Source organism: Homo sapiens, chromosome 5, assembly GCF_000001405.40.
Source record: "Homo sapiens chromosome 5, GRCh38.p14 Primary Assembly".
NCBI lineage: Eukaryota > Metazoa > Chordata > Mammalia > Primates > Hominidae > Homo > Homo sapiens.
In genome coordinates this window covers 156,849,160-156,869,389 of record NC_000005.10, presented here as the reverse complement: position 1 = coordinate 156,869,389, position 20,230 = coordinate 156,849,160, and the positions used below count along the sequence as shown (strand labels likewise).

Here is a 20,230-nt window from a genome sequence, read left to right as displayed (position 1 = left end):
TAGTGCTTCCCGTGGGATTGTGTTCAACTGTTTATTTCAGAAACTTTTCCAGACTTTCCAAACTGCTTAACCAAACGGGGGGTGTATTAGGCTATTCTCACATTGCTATAAAGACATCCCTGAGACTGGGTAATTTACAAAGAAAAGAGGTTTCATTGGCTCAGTTCTGCGGCCTGTATAGGAAGCATAGCAGCTTCTGCTTCTGGGGAGGCCTTGAGAAGCTTCCAATCATGGCAGAGGGCAAAGCGGGAGCAGGCATCTCACATGGTGGGAGCAGAAGCAAGAGAGTGAAGGAGGAGGTGTCACACACTTTTACACAACCAGATCATGCAAGAATTCACTCACTATTGAAACAACAGGACCAAGGGGGATGGGGTCAAATGATTCATGAGAAAAGGCTCCCATGATCAACTTGCCTCCCACCAGACCCCACCTCCAACACTGGGAATTACAATTGAACATGAGATTTGGGTGGGGACATAGATCCAAACCATATCAGGGTGTTTATTATTTTCACCTAAGAAGTCAGGAGGTGGGGCTAGTGTAGTTGTTTAAGGATGTCTTCAAGAACATAGGCTCCTTCTCTATTTCTGTTCTCATCCTTAGTGTGAGGCTTTCAAGGTCAGGGTTACAAAACGACAGCTGCATCTCTGAGCATCACATCTGCATTCCAGTCAAGAAGGCAAGTGAGAGCAAAGGGCAAAAGATAAAAGCTCCAGTGTCTAGCTGCTTTAAAGGAGGCTCAGGAAGCGCCATCAGTGACTTCTGCTCATCTCATTGGCCAGGACTGGGTCACATGACTCCTTTCAGCTGTAAGGGAGGATGGGAAATAAGTAATAGAAACATTATTATACTGAACAAAATTAGAGTTCTGTTTGAAAGTAAAAATGGGAAATGATATTGGATAGCACCGGACAGAGATGTGTATTTGTTCTTGCTGTTTTGTGGCTAAAAACAAAAATGGTCTCTGGGCAGCTTAAGAAAAAGACACAGAGACAGCTCACAGAATGGGTAAAGCCTCAGAAGGGCGGATATCAGGGAACTCTGGGAACTTTGACAGCAGAAATCCACGTGCTTTCTCTCAAGGGTACTGCTATTTATGGGACTCAGTAATGAAACAGGCTCCCAGTCACTTTGTTATAAATTTCAGATTCCTGAGATGGAAAATGCAATTGGCCAAGCTAAGGTTGCTTGTTTGCCTTCGCCCAGCCAGCTTCATCTGAGTGACAGGATCATGAAGCATAGAGAATGCCCCTGGGCTCTGGCCTTACCTGGGCATTAGAGTTTGTTCCCAAAGAAAAGTGAATTCTTGAGGGCTGGGTCGTTATCATTACTGGTTTGGGCATAGACAAATTTAATACAAAGGACAGAATGCAGTTTCGCCAGTGTTGGGGTCAGAAAACAATACCCCAAAATGAAGGCCTCAGAAGCAGCTTCAGAAGTAAAAGTTTCTCCTTGAGCTTCTCCTGCCCTTATGTCTCTGTCCTATTCTTCCCCATGGTTAGTCATGGAAACAAGAATCCCTCTTCCCCAATGCATGTCATAGAGACCAGAACTCCTTTCCTCAAAGTCAGCCATAGAACATAAAAATATTCTATGCAAAAACTGGTCATCAAAATTATCTGACCTACTTACTTTGTTTGACTGTACATCATAAGACCCCTATTCCAGAGAAGATCTTGCCCTACACTTAGAAGAAAGGAATACTGCACAGAGAGGCCAAGAAGAATCTAGACAGGACTTGCTAGATTTCCCCACTATGTTAATTAGCATTAGATCTTACCCTTTTTGTCCAATTATATTTCTACATGATGTTTATATTTTGCTGAACCTAAGCATAAACATAGACAATTTCCTGTGTCTTTGGATCTTCATTCTGAAGCCTCTCATGTATACACATTAAATAAATGTGAATGCCTTTTCGCCTATTAATCTGCCTTTTGTGAGTTGATTTTTCTTTTCTTTTCTTCTCTTTTCTTTTTTGAGACAGGGTCTCACTCTGTCCCCCAGGCTGGAGTGCAGTGGTGTGATCATGGCTCACTACAGCCTTGATATCCTGAGCTAAAGTGATCCCCGGGCCTCAGCCTACTGAGTAGCTGAGATTACAGGTGTGTGCCACCACATCTGGCTAATTTTTTAAAAATAGAGATAGGGTCTTGCTATGTTGCCCAGGCTGGTGTCAAACTCCTGGTTTCAAGTAATCCTCCTGCCTTAGCCTCCCAGAGTTCTGGGATTACAGGTATGAGCCACTGTGCCCAGCTAATGAGTTGATTTTTCAATGAACCTTTAGGGGGCCAAGGGTCTTGGCTCTTACACCAGGTTCTAGGGCTGCAAATTTCAGAACTCATCTGGGAATTTACTCCTTTTTAATAAGTTGGCAGTGTGTAGGAAGGATGTTCACATGTCTGGCTATAGATAACTAGTTTATCTGGCACCAATTCTTTCAAACAAGCTGAGGATTTATTTAATTTTTAAACCTGGTAGAATTTAGTTAAAGCCAGTAACAGTAGGTTTCATGTATGGCCAGAAGGTAAGAATTTCAGCCTGGTAAGCTTTGCACTTACGGAGATAAAGTGTTCTAAATGTTGACAAATTCCACTTGTCTTTTTGGATTATCCTTGGGAAAGAGAGACAGAGCTGAACATTCTTCTGCCGTATCAACCTTTTCCCTTCAAGAACTTAAAGATGAATATGACTTTCTTTTGTAAAATTCCATTATTTCCTTTATTACTGATCTGTTCATTTTTATACCTGGTTGTTTCGGAAGCAGAAAGTAGGAAATGTCTTACCATTTGTTTTCTTGCTACCTTTGTCCTTTCAGCATCATCAAAGGGTATACAGCATCATGATTAACAGTGTGAGCTTCGGAGTCTGACAGATCTGGGTTTGAGTGCTCACTTTGCTACTCATTGGCAATATAATTATGGGCTAATAAAACCAATGAACTTGGGCCACAGTAGGTATGACAGATATTTTTCAGGGTTAGTCCTAGCCAGTCTATTTTTCTTGTGTGTATAGGTATATACATATAATATCTATAATGCCTCTGTCCTGCTTTTATTACTTAACATTATATCTTAGAAGTCCTTTCTTATCAGCTCATATAAATCAGCCTGAATCTTTTTAATGGCTACACAGTATTACAATAAGTATGACTGTGCTGTCCTTTAGTTAACTCATTCTTCATCAATGAATGTTTAAGTTGTTTCTAAATTTTTATCATTAAAAATTATACTGCAGCCTTAGATAATCCTCTTTATACATGTATGAAAACGTATCGGGATAAATTGCTTGAAATATAATTGCTAAGTTAAAGGGCATGTGAATATTTAATTGATATGGATGTAGTCACATTATCCTTCATAAATATACCAATTAGTTTACATTTCTACCAAGAATTGCATAGGGAAGCCTGTTTCCTATATCCTCACCAACACCTTGTTTTCAAATTATTTATTATTTGTTAATAGGATAAAATGTTATTGCTACTTTTAAGTTACATTTCCTTAATTTTGAATGTGCATCTACACATACATTTAAAAGCCATTTGCATTTTTTTCTTGCTAAAAGCTATCCAGGCTGAGCACAGTGGCTTATGCCTATAATCCCAGCAGTTTGGGAGGCTGAGGTAAAAAAAAAAAAAAAAATGCTTGAGACCAAGAGTTCAAACCAACCTGAGGTAAGGAGAAACCCTGTCTTTACAAGAAATGAGCTGGGTGTGGTGGTTCATTTAGTCCTAGCTGCTTGGGAGGCTGAGGTAGGAAGATCACCTGACCCTAAGAGTTTGAGGCTGCAGTGAACTATGATTATGCCACTGCCTGCCAGCCTGGGGACCAGAGTAAGACCCTGTCTCAAACAACAACAACAACAACAACAACAACAACAACAACAACAACAACCCCCAAGTTGCCTGGGAATGGGATAGAACTTGTCCTCTGAAACTAACTTGTCAGAACTTTTTATGAATTGAGGAATTTACCTGTTGTATTATGTTGCATTTTTTCTACCATAATTGTCTTTTTACTGTTTTATGGCTTTGAAGTTTTTCTGTGGTCACAGTCATTAATCTTTTCCTTTGAGGCTTTTGGTTTACGTATCTTGCTTTAGCTGTCCCCACTCCAAATATTTTTTTTTTTAGTTGTAATATTTTCTTTGACTTTTACATTTTTTTTTAACCTTCTGATCCACTGAAATTTATTTTGGTATAAATAGGGATGATACATATTTATTTCCTCCCCCAGTGTCTGGCCAGTTATCCCATCATCATTTGTTGGACAACTGACATTTTTCTACTGCTTTTAAATGTCACCTTGGTAAGAAATTATTTGTGTGTGAGCCTCTCTTGACCTCTGTTTCACGGATCTGTCTTTTCCTGCAAAGTCGGTTAGAAAATTACATGTACCGGTTAATCCTAATGCTGAATGTACATTCCAAATTTTGTTGATAGTTTAAACCAAATAAAAGGCAAGAGGAACATTTGATACTTTTTTTTGTCAGCCTGTGGTCCTTATGTGTCACATCAGGGAGTAATATGCTTATACGAGAGATTTAATGTGTGACCTGGAAGATGAAGTGGGGTTGGGTAGAATGGGAACAACGAACATTTTACTTCCAAATAGCCAGTAACTATTTTCTAAAAATAAATTACCTTGGAGCTTTGATGAAAAATGAAGGGGTGCCTAGGCAGTGAAGGGATTTATGATGATGGGTGAAGTGTTAGAGACTCGGGGCAGTTCTTCATCATTCACAGTGTGCTTTGCTCACACAGATCAAGGCCGACTTTCACTGTCCGTATAACTCTATCTTCTGTTCTTACAGACTGCTTTGTTAGCATTGTCATGCCTCAGGGCCTTTGCACATACAGTTTATCTCTGCCTATAATTCTCTTTTCTAAAATAGCTGTTTCTTCATATCCTTCAGACTTCTGCCCAAATATTTCCTATCAGAGAGCCCTTCTCTGACCACCCTTCCTAAAATGTACTTTCAGCTCATGTTCCTCTTTTCAGAGAGCACATTACTTTCTGACATAGACATACTCTGACCTTTCCCATGAGTTCCATGAGCTAAGCACCGGAAGTATGGCCTGACATAGAGACATTCAACTACTTGTTTTATTTTTCTATTTTTTCAGCCAGTGTTTTGCTCTGTCACCCAGACTGGAGAGCAGTGGCATGATCTCAGCTCACTGCAACCTCTGCCTCCTGCGTTCAAACGATCTTCCCACCCCAGCCCCCCAAGTAGCTGGGACCACAGGCGTGTGCCACCATGCCTGGCTAATTTTTGTGTATTTTGTAGAGACAGGGTTTCGCCGTGTTTCCCAGGCTAGTCTCGAGCTTCCGAGCTCAAGCAATCTGCCTGCTTCAGCCTCCCAAAGTGCTGGCATTGTAGGTGTGAGCCACCGTGCCCAGCCTGAACCACTTGTTAAATGAGCAAATACACATTGCTATCTTCTTCTCTTCACTGTTTACTAGTGTGCAACTAAGAAGTTGCTGAAATGAAATGAGGCTTGAAATTGCTCCATTTGGAACCAAAATACTAGATTATCTTTTTTGTTTTGTTTTGTTTTCCTTTGTTCTAGGAAAGTATGACCCAGACATTGAGTGCTGAGAAGGTTAGCTCTGCTCAGATGGGTATTTGTATCTGAGAAATATTATTTCCAGGATGGAGGGGATGCTGGACTAGAAGGCTCAAAGGGCCATGACCCCTACCAGGAGCTATAAAGCAAGCAAGGGACAACTCTGCTTTATGAGTATGTGTCCAAAATGATGCATGCACACACTGACATGTTTTTCTTAGTATATGAGGGACTTCATTACAAAATCCTAAATCTCTATTTTTCTGAACCTTCAGCTGTTCATGTTTTCTCCATTGGTATGATATAGGAGGACGTGAGATAAAGAATAATACTTTTAATAGCCCTTTAATGACCCAGAATCTTTGCTATCATTGAGATTTCTATGTAGGAAGAACTGGGGGTAAAATTTTACTGTAAGTGGTAGTTAGGAGACTCTCCTAAGGCTGAAGGCTCAGAAAAATAGAGACTTAGGATTTTGCTTCCTTTGATTTTGCATCGTTTGCAGGGATGGGGTTTTGCCACATTGCCCAGGATGGTCTCAAACTTCCGGGCTGAAGTGATTTTCTTACCTTAGCTTACCAAAGTGCTGGGATTACAGGCATGAGCCACATCTGGCCACTGATTTCTTACTTGGTATTTTTTTCTCTCATTTCTCACTCTTTTTCTTTTTTGAATGAGAAACTAGTGGTTTGCCTATTTTGTTGCTATTTTTAGTAAACCAGCATGTTGATTTCTTGGTTCTCATCTTTTTTCTGTTTCCAACTTTATTCATTTATACTTTTGTTTTGATTTTTTCCCCTTCTGCTTTCTTTGTTGTACTTTTGTTGATATTACTTAATTTATTGACCTTTATTCTTTACTTTTTATTCATATATTTTGTTGATTAGTTAGTATTTATTGACCCTTATTCTTTACTTTTTATTTGTATAATTTTTATTTATACTTTTATTATTTATACTCTATACTTTGTATTTATAATCTGCATAAATAATACAAGTATGAATAAAATTAGTTTTTTAGTATATTTTGATTTTTACTTTATTGATCTTTACTTTTTACTTTTTATTGGTATTAATATTTAAGTTATACGTGTTCTACTGATTTTTGTTTTTTTGTTTTTGTAGAGACACAGGGTTTCACAATGTTGCCCAGGCTGGTCTCAAACTCCTGGCCTCAAGCGATCTTCCTGCCTCAGCATCCCAAAATGCTGGGATTATAGGTGTGTGAGCTACTGCACCTGGCCTGTTCTGCTGATTTTAAAGCTTCATTTATGTTTCATAAATTCCAAAATTTTAGCAACTCTGCAATTTTAGTTTATATTTTTCTTTTTACCTAAGCATTTTTGAATAGGAGTTTTTACAATTTCTAGCAAGAACTTTTTCTACTTTTTGTTATAAATGTCTTATTTGATCTCACTGTGCTTACCATATGCATTGTTCTATCCTGTGGGACGTACTGATTTCTGTTTGTGTGATTCAATATATAGTACTTTTTGTGTGTGACCCTATTCTATGTAGCCAAAGAAGAGGTATACTTTCTATTATCAGTATATAAAGCTTACCTTATATTCATCAGATCTATGAATGATTTTTGGAACTTCTACATGTTCACTTAGCTTTCTGTCCTCTTGGTTTTCCTTTGACTGAGATTTGTGTGATAAAATTTATTATTAGTGTGTTTATTAATCTACTTATCACGGCATCTTTTGTAGTTTCTGCTCTATGAGACTGATGGCTGTGTTATTTGGGTTCCAGATAGTCATAACTTCTATCTTAATTGTGGATTGTGTCCTATAACATAATAAAGGCCTTCCTTCTTTTGACTCTAGTGTTAGCTTAGGTTGTTTGCTATCAGAATCACAGCTATACTTTCTTAGTGTTTACATTTACCTGGTATACCTTCACCCATCTTTTTACTTTTAGCCTTTTTGAATCACTTAAGCATGCCTCTTGTATACAGCATAGAGACGAGTTCACTTTTTTAAGGACTGATATGTTTGGTCTCGTATAGCTCATATTATTTTTGTTACATTTACTGTGTTTATTTTTGTATATGGTCTATTTTCTCAATTAAAATTTGGAAGATATATATTTTTGTGCTACTAGCAATCTTCATACTAATGCCTTTTTTCAACCACCTATTCCCTATGAGACAATCATTATTTACTTCTCTTTTGTTTTTTCTTTTTTCATTTTGAAGTTGTGATATTTCTACCTTGACAGAACTCTAAACTTTTCTCCTTTGTTTTAGTCTCAGACCTATAATTAAACATATTTTCATATGTAGATAAAAAGACCATTAATTCTTTGGCCAAAGTTTGCACAATGATCTTTTCATTGATAGAGCTTGTCTTTTATGTGCATACTAATCCCTTGAGGATCTTGTTAATATGAAGATTCTGATTCAGAAGCCCTGAGGTAGGACCTGAGATTTTCCATTTTGTTTTTATTTTGTTTGTTTTGAGACAGTCTCACTCTAATGCACAGGCTGGAGTGCAGTGGTTTGATCTCAGCCCACTGCAACCTCCGCCTTCTGGGTTCAAGCAATTCTTCTGCCTCAGCCTCCCAAGTAGCTGGGACTACAGGCATGCACCACCACACCCAGCTAATTTTTGTATTTTTAGTAGAGTTGGGTTTTGCCATGTTTGCCAGGCCGATCTCAAATTCCTGACCTCAAGTGATCCACCCGTCTCATCCTCCCAAAGTGCTGGGATTATAGGCATGAGCCACCACACCCGGCTAAGATTTTGCATTTTGAACAATCTCTTGGATTTTGCTGCTGCTGCTGCTGCTGCTGGCTACACATTACATTCTGAGTAGCCATGTTCTTGTAGATTGCTCAGGAAGAGTTTATGAGTATAGTATTCCCCAGTTCTTGCATGTTTAAAATTGTTTTTCCATGGTCTTGATAGTTAAAGGGTAGTTCAACTGAATACACAATTGTGGGCTCCCTTTTGCATGTCTTGAGTTTCTTGAGAATGCTGTGCATTGTTTCTTGCTCCATATACTGCTGTTGAGATTTTAGTGGCAACTGATGGTGGCTGGAGGAGAGTCGGGGGAATTCTTTGCCTTCATAGCATAATTATTTTACTAACATATATCATGGAGCTTATTATGCTTTGGCAATTTTTCCATATGCAGAATGAATCTTTTTACTTTGTAGATTCAAGTCTGGTCTAATATCTGGAAAATTTTGTGGGGGAGGAGACTTACAGCTTTGAATTCTATTCCATATTTAAAAGTGATAATTGTTTTTTCTCTTCAGGGACTCTCATTATAGGTTTATTGAGTCTTTGCTTCTCTTCCATGCCTATCCCTTTCTCTATGATTCATTTTACCTCTATTTCATTTTTCTGGTTTGTTTTTTTTCAGACTTAACCATGAAGTCACCTTTCCCAACACAGACACACACACACACACACACACACTCTCTCTCTCTCTCTCTCTGTCTCTCTCTCTTTCACACACACACACACACACACAAACACACACTTTCACATTCATGCATTGGCTTCCAAATCTACCACCTGTGATCCTAAGCAATTTCAGACCCCTTCATTTCTATTTCTAGGACCCAGTGCTGGGATACCCAAGATCTAAGGCTTATTTTAGGAACTTTGCCACTCAAGGTGGGAGCTTTTCTCCAGAGGCAGTTCTATGTGTGTTTCCCCATTGTTAGTATCCTATTGTCCCATCTGCTTTCCACTCAGTCTGTGCATGAGTCTGCCCTGACATGGGCTCTGAAAAGGCACTACTGGTTTCAGAATGTTTACTTCTCCTCATGCACATAACTTGAAGTTTGAATTACTATCTCTTTTCCTAGTTGAAAAAAGATGGGATTTTATTTGTGCTGTATTTATTGGAATGGTTTTCGCAGAATAGGAAGAAAGATTCTGGTTTCTGTAGTTGCCATCATTTTTATGGAATCTAGACATCAATATTTCATTTCAATAAAGCTTCTACTGCTAAGATACATAAAGTAAGCTTGAAATTACTTATCTATTTTAACAGCCTATGGTTGAGGGACCACTGAAGTATCCAAATGGGTTTTGGTTTCAATACCCCTAGTAACAGAGAACTCACTTACTCCTATTAGAACCCACTTCAAAATTTGATATTTTCTTAGTAATAATGTTCTCACTGAAAATATTCTCCCGGAAGCTTTTTTGTTTTTTTTTGAGGTGGAGTTTTGCTCTGTTGCCCAGGCTGGAGTGAAGTGGTATGATCGATCTTGACTCACTGCAACCTCCGCCTCCTGGGTTCAAGTGATTCTCCTGCCTCAGCCTCCTGAGTAGCTGGGACTACAGGCACCCACCACCATGCCTGGCTAATTTTTTGTATTTTTAGTAGAGATGGGATGTCACCATGTTGGCTAGGCTGGTCTCGAACTCATGACCTCAAGTCCTCAAGTGATTCACCTGCCTTGGTGTCCTAAAGTGCTGGGATTACAGGCGTGAGCTGCCACTGCACCTGGCTTTTTTTTTTTTTTTTAAAGTACCTAAATTCTGACCTTTGAGGTTATATAAAATAAGTGAAAAATCTTTTTTCCATCTAATGAATTTAAAAATATTTGGTGGTTAAAAATCATGAACAAAAATGGTCTTTTTCAGAATTAAATTATTCTAATTACTTCAGTCTTCTTATTGCTTCTAGATACAGGAATGCAGTTTAATACAGAATCACATGATAGGAATGAGTGTTTGTGCTTATTTTATTAGTTGCACTTATTTTTAACTGAAAGAGCTGTCTACATGACAGCTTTCTTAATTTAAAAATGTCTATTTTATTGAATAAAATTTAGACAAATATTTTATAAAACTGAAGTATGGCTTTTAGAATTCTCATTGTTTATGTGTGTGCTATAATTCCAAGTGAGTTCTGGAAAACTTACAACTTTACAACTGTAGAATCTGAATAGAGTTGTGCCTCTTTATTTTTAAAAGTGCCCCAGTTTGAATGTTTGTTTTACTGGAAGGTCCCAACTAAGAAGGTACTAGGTGATATGAAAACAGCACAATAGTAATGACTTATAATAAAAAGGCCAATACACATGTTAGGTTTTTATACTTATTGCAGAAATCAAGGGAGACATAAAGCTGAAATTTGTTTTAGCTTTGTGCAGCTTTTTTTTTTTATTTTAGCTTTTTATGGGGTTCTCAGTCACTTGTCTGCTGTAGAAGCCTTTTATTTGCTGATAAGGGCTGTTAACTAGTTTCAAAGTTGGAGAGATAAAGTTACCATTACACACAGGGTTCTAGTTATACTGGGCTAAACTGGTCCTGTCTTTAGTTAGCAAAACCAGTGGAGGAAGAACAAAGCCAAGATAGCAAAGGGAAACATCCGTGGGACAAGCCCTGCAAAGGTGTAGAATAGCAAACTAAGTGAGGGGAAGAATGTTTTTGTAACAAATGAGAGACTTGACTTTCCTGAATCATTTCTTGAATTCCAGATTAAAGCCTAATTGTAATGTAATTTGCTCAACCCTATCTGTGCAAGACCAGTTTGTTTCCCATGATCAAAAATTCTAAACCTTTGTGCTTCAGGGTCAAGGCCAAAATGATATACCCCACCATTCCGTTCTTTTTCTCTGCTTACGTACAAGAGAGAAAAGAGGACATTTCCTTATTTCCTGCTCTCTAATCAGTATTTCTACAGGATAATCACAGAATATCCATTCCCTTTAAGGTCATTAGTACCTTTTCCACAGTCTAGACTAGTCAGTCTTAAAAAGCACCTCGTAAGCCCCTGGAGGAACTTTACCCACTCAGTTTGGTTTCTTTGCAGCCTCATCTCATCAAAGATTTAAATCTCATCTTTAATAACCTTGCCGCATGGCTAGTACATGGAAAAAGTAGATGAGAGAAGAGACTCTATCAAACTGGCATGATAGGATGCATTGAAAGAGAGTTTCCTGTACAAATCACCTTCTAAATATGTGTCTGCTAATAATAATAGTTCTTATTAATTTCTTAATCTTTTAATGCTTATTTCAAATTTATCTCCTTTCTATCCACCCATAAAACCTATAGTGTTTTTTTAAATCATAATTCTTTTTTATCAAACTATATTTTAGACATGAAGGCAATATAAGTGATCTATTTTTCTTTTCCCTCCTATAGGCAATAATAGCTCCAATTTTAAAATTAAAAAAAATTTCCCTTTAGTAATTTTATTTTCCCATCACCTCAAACAAGTTTTTCTATTTTATTTATAACTTCAAGTCATGTGCTGAATATTATCTTCTACTTTAAAATGTGTAAGTGGACAAAATATATTTCATTTGTATCTCAGTGGAAGTAACTTAGAGGTAACGTAGGAACAGTTAATTACATTAAGGAAATCGGCAAAACAAAATGAAAGCATTCAGTCCTGCCATGGTGGTGGTTCACACCTGTAATCCCAGCACTTTGGGAGGCCAAGGAGGGTGGATCACTTGAGCACAGGAGCTCAAGACTAGCCTGGGCAACATGGTGAAACCCCATCTTTACAAAAAAAAAAAGAAAAAAAATTAGCCAGGCATAGCATTGTATGCCTGTAGTCCCAGCTACTCAGTAGGCTGAGGTGGGAGGATTGTCTGAACACAGAAGGTCGAGACTGCAGCGAGCCGTGATCATACCACTGCACTCCAGCACTTTAACCTGGGTGATAGAGTGAAACCCAGCATTCACAAAAAAAAAAAAAAAAAAAAAAAAAAAAAAAAAAAAAAAAAAAAAAAAAAACTAAAGGGAAAAAAAGAAAAGGGAAGAAGAACAGAACAAGGCATGAATTTTGTTTCTATTTACATATTTGTTGTCAAGGCTTATTATAAGGCTTAAATTATAACTTAAATTTAAGAATTTAAATTCAAAAGCATTTGGAAACACTACCTCAATGCATAAAAAGTAAAACCAATAAAACTTATACAGATAGCACTGGTGAAATACTGACATACTTGAAGGCAAAAAATTAGGACTTTTATTTTCTTTTATTTGGAGACTGAGTCTCGCTCTGTTGCCCAGCCTGGAGTGCAGTGGCGCAACCTCAGCTTACTGCAACATCTGCCTCCTGGGTTCAGGGATTCTTGTGCCTCAGCCTCCCAAGTAACTGGGATTACAGGCATGCACTGCCACAGCAGCTAATTTTTGTATTTTTCCAGAGATGGGGTTTCACCATGTTGTCCAGGCTGGTCTCAAACTCCTGACCTCAAATCATCCACCCACCTTGACCTCCCAAAGTGCTAGGATTATAGGTGTAAGCCACCTCACCCAGACTAACTTCGTACTTTAAAGTAGTCTGTTTGGTAATGAAAACATTTTTAACCCCTGAGAGGGACATCTTTAGTATTTTAATAGTGATAGTAAGATGTTATTTTCTATAGTGTTTGACATTTGTACTGATGGTACAAAGGCAACGATGAATAAACTGCTGGTGCCTTAGAACAAATTAAAGAAATGGCACTAACCTCTATTAGTAATCATTAAATTTACACATAGACAATTATGTACATGTATATATCTATTATATACACATATGTATATATATAATTGATGTTTATTATTTCCAGTAGGTACATTTTATGAAGTCACCACAGACCCTGAATTAGAGAGTACCAAACCACTGCTCCCAGGAGAAAATATAGGATTAGATTTTTGTAAGCGTCTGGTCACAATATTTTATCAACCAGTTAACATATGACCTGTTTTATGTGTGTTTCTGTTTGAAATAAACTTTATTTAATCATACTGTTTATTCATTAATATTGAACTATATAAATCTTTCACTTCTTTGGTTAAATTATTCCTAGTTTATATTCTTTGTAGTTATTGTAAATGGGGTTGCTTTCTTGATTTCTTTTTCAGATTGTTCACTGTTGGTGTATATAAACGCTACTGATTTTTGTATGTTAATTTTGTAACCTACAATTCATTTATCAGTTTTAAGGCTTTTTTTTTTTTTTTTTTGTAGAGTCTTTAGGTTTTTCTTAAATACAAGGCCATGTCATCTGCAAAAAAGCTAATTTGATTTCTTCCTTTTCAGTTCGAATGTCCTTTATTTCCTTCCTTTTCCTAACTACTCTGGCCAGGACTTTAAACACTATGTTGAATAAAAAGTGGTGAAAATGGGCATCCTTGTCTTGTTCCAAATCTTAGAGGAAAGGCTTTCATTTTTTCCCCGTTCAGTATGATGTTAGCTGTGGATTTGACAAAGTGGCTTTTATTATTTTTAGACATGTTCCTCCTGTACCCAAGTATTTTTTATGAGAAAGGGATGCTGAATTTTATCAAAGACTATTTCAGCATCATTAAAATAATCTTGTGGTTTTTGTTCTTGATTCTGTTAATGAAATGTATCACCCTGAGTCATTTGTGTATGTTGAACCATCCTTGCATTCCTGGGATAAATCCTTCATGATTATGGTAAGTAACCTTTTTAATGTGTTGGTAACCTTTTTAATGTGTTGTTGAATTCAGTTTGCTTATATTTTGTTGAGGATTTTTGCATATATGTTCATCAGTGATATTGGCCAGTAGTTTTCGTTGTTGTATCCTCGTCTGGTTTGGTGTCAGGGTAATGCTGACCTCAAAAGTTTGGAAATATTCCCTCCTCTTTAATTTTTTGAGGAGTTTGAATAGAATTGGTATTGTTTCATCTTTAAATGTTTGGTTGAATTCATTAATGAAGCCATTCAGTCAGGGGAATTTGTTTAATGAGAAACGTTTTATTATAGCTTCAATCTCATTACTTGTTTATTTGTTGAAGTTTTCTATTTTTTCATGGTTTAATCTTGGTAGGTCATATCTGCCCAAGAATGTAGATTTGTTCTAGGTTTTTCCAATTTGCTGGCATATAGTTGTTCATAATAGTCTCTAATGGTTCTTTGTATTTCTGTGATTTCAGTTATTATCTCTCCTTTTTTGTTTCTGATTTTATTTATTTTGGTCTTCCATTTTTCTTAATCTAGTTGAAGGTTTCTCAATTTCTGTTTATCTTTTCAAAAAAACATCTTTTCATTTTAAAGTTGATCTGTATTTTTTGTCTTGATTTTATGTATTTCTGCTCTAATCTTTATTATTTCTGTCTAATTTTGGGTTTGGTTTGTTCTTGTTTTTTAGTTCCTACAGTCACATTGTTAGGTTGTATTTTAAAAGTCTTCCTACTTTTTTGAGGTAGGAGATTATTGCTATAAGCTTTCCTCTTAGCACCATTTTTGCTGTATCTATAGATTTTGATATGTTGTATTTCCATTTTCATTTATTTCAAGAATTTTAAAATTTCTTTGTTAACCTTTAATTGACCTGTTGGTTGTTTAGAAGCACATTTTAAATTTCAATGTTCATGTAGTTTCCAAAATTCGTCTTATTATTGATTTCTAATTTTACTCTTTGTGGTCAGAAAAGATAGTTAATATGATTTCTACTTTTGAATTTTTTAATATTTGTTCTGTGGCCTAAGGTACTGTCTATTCTAGTGAATGTTCCATGTGCTGATGAAAATAATGTGTATCCTGTAGCAGTTGGGTGATATTCTGTAAATGTCAGTTAGACCTGTTTGGTCTAATGTGTAGTTCAAGTTCAATGTTTCTTTGTGATTTTCTGTCTGAATGATCTGTCAATTACTGAGAGGTGGGTATTGAAATCCCTTACTACTATTGTACTGCAGTCTATGTCTCCCTTTAGATCTATTAATGTTTTCTTCATATACTTGGAAGCTCTGGTGTTGGGTGCATAAATATTTATATTATATCTTCTTGCTGAATTGACCCCTTTATCATTATATTGTGACCTTCTGTGGTCTCTCTTTACAGACTTTGACTTGTCATCCATTCTGTATAAGCATAGCTACTCCTATTCTTTTTTGGTTTCTGCAGGCACGGAGTACCTTTTTCCATTCTTTTACTTTCAGTCTATGTGTTTCTATATAGTTGAGGTGGGTTTCTTGTAGGCAGCATGTAGTTGGGTTTTGTTTCATTATCCATTCAGCTACTCCATGTCTTTTAATTGGAGAATTGAGTTCATTTACATTTAGTGTTATTAAGTAAGGATGTACTACAAGCAAACATTCTGTTGCTTGTTTTCTGGTTGTTTTGTAACTCCTTTCTTCCTTTCTTACTGTCTTTGTGGTTAAGCGATTTTCTCTGGTAGTATGTTTTAATTTGTTACTTTTTATTTTTAGTGTATCTTTCATAGTTCTTTTTTTTATATTATTGTATTTTATTACCGTATGCGTAGTGTATACTAACTTAAAGGGAAAAATGTAAACAAAATCAAAGTCATGGGGAAAATGGCATCTTGCTTTTCTCTTCAACTGAAAGTTACCCTTAATAATCCATTTATACCATTATGTCAAATTTTAGTCATCTCTTCAGAATTTTAGACCAATGAAAACGGACAAGGTAACACCAGAGAGTTAAGCACAGAAAGTGATACTGATTAAAAAGTTGAAAGTAAAATCTACCTTGGCTAGAACTGAACATTCAGATCTGTCTCTCCAGAGGAAAATCTAACTTGAATCATAATGGTTCATATTTTGACTAGTTCATACCCTATCAATTAGCGACTTATGACTTGAACATACCTTTTCTCAGCTGCATGTGACAGCCTAAAACCCCACTGAGCATGCTGCTTGGCATGCCTTACTCCTCTGAAATCATCTACTTTCTAAAAACCAGAAAATGAGTTTGCTTGTGATTTAAATTTCAAAAAATAGTTTGTAGAAAACACAAAAAGAATCAACTGTTTAAAGTCTTATCCTTTTCTTCACTCTACAACAGCTACTTCTACAAAAAAGAGTATGTGGACACTTTCTAAGAACTCAGAAACAAGAAAACCAAAATCAGAGGTTGCATGAATATATGTGCACACATATGTACAGACTTAATCTCTACATCCCCCAAGACAGATTTAAACAGGTAATCCCAAAATTCTAAATTCAGAAACCAGAGATAAACAGTTTTGTTTCTAAATCAGTGGTATTACTAGATGAAATGTTTAGAATACTGCACTTATAGTTCAGCAGTACTTTGATTATATATCTCATTTAAAAAAATCAAAATAATAACCACATTCTTCTAACAGCAAAGAATTCTCCCACTTTTTATTTATTTTGAAATACTGATATTTCTATAAACCTGCAAGTGGAAGATAAGCTGTTCAATAAAAGCCTTATTTTATATATATAAATATATATTATACAGACATTATTTTAGAAGTCTGTTCATATAACAGATTATTTTGGTACTAACGAAAATTGTATACGATTCATCAATTGTATGGCTAGAAATGAAACCATAACCAAACCAAGACACACAGGGCTTTCCTGCACTTCGTTTAAGGAAAATATTCCACATAATTCTTACTGCGTTAGAGGAATAAAGTACATTTGTCATAGTATACATTATCATATTCCCTTAAAGCAGGGACTATTTAAAGTTTTTAAATTAAAAAATGTCCAGGCTTACTTCTGTCTGTACATTCAGGAATAATCATATCACTGGTTACATACAATTCTCATGCAAAGAAAACCCTCAAAAAACAAAAAAAAACCCTCGGTTGTTTTCTTAAGTCTAATTAAGCCAAACTAATAATAGCAATTTAATTAGCAATCTGTAAATCGAGAGGCATAGAAATTCAGCAGTTAAACTGTATTTCCTGCCTATAGTACTGCTGCTACTCAATCTATTTTCTTCATGTATTAGAAGAATTCATAGGCATTGATGGTCAAAATAAGAATTTCCACACAGCAGCAAATGACAGAAGAGTGACAGAAAGAGTTCCTAATGTCGTGACAATCTTAATGATCCTTTAAAAGGTAAAAGATTGTGTGTGTATGTGTGGAAAGGAGTAGGAAATAAAAGCAGGAGGTTAAGACAGGTATTTAAAGGGAATGGCGAGATAGCTACATTAGAATATTTATTTTTTAAAAAACTGCTCTGAAGTCTGCCCAGTGTACCAAAAACATTAAAAAACAAAAACAAACAAACCCCCTGCCAAAAAACAGAGCAGACATTGGTGAAAGTTTAACCTGATAATTTATTTGTGGGGAAAAAAGCTAGTTTTGATGAGAAAAAGTTCAGTCCTTTCCTTGTAAACACAAAGAAACTCAACAGGAATTTTAAAGGTAGTAGGTCAGAAAATGCAACAGTAACTCTTACAATTCTTTTCAATTAAACAGACAAATCAAGTTGAAGAGAAGTGTTAAAATACGATTCAGCTTGAATATTTATAAGTCTATATATCCTGTTGTTCAACTGGCTTTTGATTTTTAAAAAAACAAATCAACAAACTTTGTAAGAGCTACCACATTTCGAGTGATGAAAATAAATTAGTTCCCCCCCAAAGATATTGCTTAACTTCTAAAGCATAAAAAGCTCTATAATATCTTATACAAATTAACCAGTGTTCTTATGAAAGTAATGCAGTTTTGGACTGATGATATTACACTGTATTTGTGGTAAAGTACTAGGCATAAGAATATATATATCAATTAGGCATTTTCAGTCTAATTAGTCTCTAAGTTTATCATTTAATTCTTGGCAATATATAATAACTGGTATGCATTTTGGTACTTAAGTCATGAATTGTGGAGAACAAGAAGCAATGTATTATAGTCACAGGGTTTATATCTAACAAACAATTGCAGTGTTGAACAAATCTCTTCTATGAACTTCGTAATTTGTTTTGCTGTTGGTCACTTGGAGTAGATCCTTGATTTGATTCTTCCGTATTCATGCTTTCTCCATCTGCAGTCTCTAACATTTCTTCATCTTCATCATCATCATGTAGGTCTTTTGAAATTAATTGTCTGGCTAGTTTGATATTGAGTCCTTCATTGTAGTGAAGCTTCCTTCTCATTTCAAATTGTCGCTTTTTTTCTCGTTCTTCAGGTGAGAGGTCACTATCCTCCTCTCCACTGCTTTCTTGTTCCTGAATCCGGTACTTTGGCTCCAAGCCTTCAGCAGCAGCTAATTTCTTGGCTAGGATGTCTGGCGCCATGGCTTCAGTGGTCTCGGTGTCCCTACACGCATCTTCATCATCACCCATCATACTATGGTAAGGAGGGCTTGGTTCATCTATTTTCATTAAACCATAGCCTTTGTCTGCTGGATGATAGGTCGCCAAGATGTTAATTTCATCCCACTTCTGGGATTTTTTGCTCAGCTCCTCGTCGACACTCCTGCGGGGCTGTTCGGCCGACGCCACCATAGAGGAAGTCGTAGAGGTCTTGTTCTTCAAGATCCCCTTGATGGGCCGGTGGGAGGCCGTCGAGGCCGCCATTGCCGGGCGCTCCGGCTGTCGCCTCAGGGTCGCTGCTTGGCGTGGGGTCCGCGAAGAGAAGGGTCGGCACAGCAGAGACTCGCAGGCAGCCGCAGAGCCCGCTCAGGGCTAAAGCGGCCGCACCTGCTGCCTCGGAAACGGCTACTGGAGCGGTTGTCACAACGACCCCGACGCCAGAGCCAACGCCGAATGGGTGGCGGCTCCTCGCGCACCATTAGCCGCCGGCACTTGACCCGCGGCTCGCGGAGAGATGCCGGCCTAGAGCTCCGCGGGGAGTGGTGGGTGGGGGGTGGTGGGTGTGGTGGGGGTGGGGGGGGTGGAGCAAATCCGACGCCCTTTTTCATAGTTCTTTTGTACTGTGGACACCATGAGGCTTACAAAAAAAAACATCTTTATAGATGTAACAAGTTGTAAAGAGATGAAAACTTACAGAGCACGAAAACACAATAGAAACAAACTTTATCCCCCCACCACATTTTGACTTTATATTGTCTCAATTAATATATTTTTATATTGCCTAACTCTTGACGATTACTGTAGCTATTAAAGTTTTTGATTTGTCTTTTAGGCTTTATACTAGAGTTATAAGTGGGTTTCACACCACCTTTACAAGTATTAGGGCATTCTGGATTTTTCTGTGTACTTACAGTGGGTTTTATACCTCAAATGTTTTCTTTTTGCATGGTGGTGGCGGTGGTGATGGTGGTTTTTCTTATCGAAGAATTCCCGATGTGGCACGGTGGCTCATACCTGTAATCCCAGCACTTTGGGAGGCTGAGGTGGTCAGATCACTTGAGGTCAAGAGTTTGAGACCAGCCTGGCCAACATGGTGAAACCTCGTCTCTATTAAAATACAAAAATTAGCTAGGCATGGTGGTGCGTGTCTGTAATCTCAGCTACTTGGGAGGCTGAGGCAGGAGAATTACTTGAACCTGGAAGGTGGAGGTTGCAGTGAGCTGAGATCATGCCATTGCACTCCAACCTGGGTGACAGACTGAGTCTCTGTCTCAAAAGAAAAAAAAAAAAGAATTCCGTTTAGCATTTTTTATAGGATGGGTTTGGTGTTGAATTCTCTCTGCTTTTGTTCGTCTGAGAAAGACTTTATCCCTCCTGTTTGAATGATAGCTTTGCTGGATACAGTAGTCTTTGATGGCAGTTACTTTCTTTCAGCACTTTCAAAATGTCATCCTACTCCCTTCTGGCCTGTGTGGTTTCTGTTGAGAAGTTTGTTGCCAGATGAATTGGAGCTTCTTTATATGTCATTTGCTGCTTTTCTCTTGTTGCTTTTAGGAGTATCTCTTTGTCCTTGACTTGAGAATTTGATTATTATATCCTTTAAAGTACTCTTATTTGGGTTGAATCTGTTTGGTGTTCTCTGACCTTCCTGTACCTAGGTATTTTTC

General features: G+C 37.1%; 1 protein-coding gene across 1 annotated transcript; it reads right to left on the bottom strand.

Annotated features, from left to right (window-relative positions):
* Positions 1 to 16,861: 16,861 nt before the first annotated feature.
* Positions 16,862 to 19,095, bottom strand: PPP1R2B (PPP1R2 family member B). The gene has a single exon (NM_206858.3). The coding sequence runs from the start codon at positions 18,825 to 18,827 to the stop codon at positions 18,210 to 18,212; it is 618 nt and encodes a 205-aa protein (NP_996740.2). The 5' UTR covers positions 18,828 to 19,095; the 3' UTR covers positions 16,862 to 18,209.
* Positions 19,096 to 20,230: the final 1,135 nt, after the last annotated feature.

What these genes read in the sequence shown, in the direction of transcription:
- PPP1R2B (NM_206858.3), bottom strand. Translation starts at nt 18,827, where the DNA reads ATGGCGGCCTCGACGGCCTCCCACCGGCCCATCAAGGGGATCTTGAAG.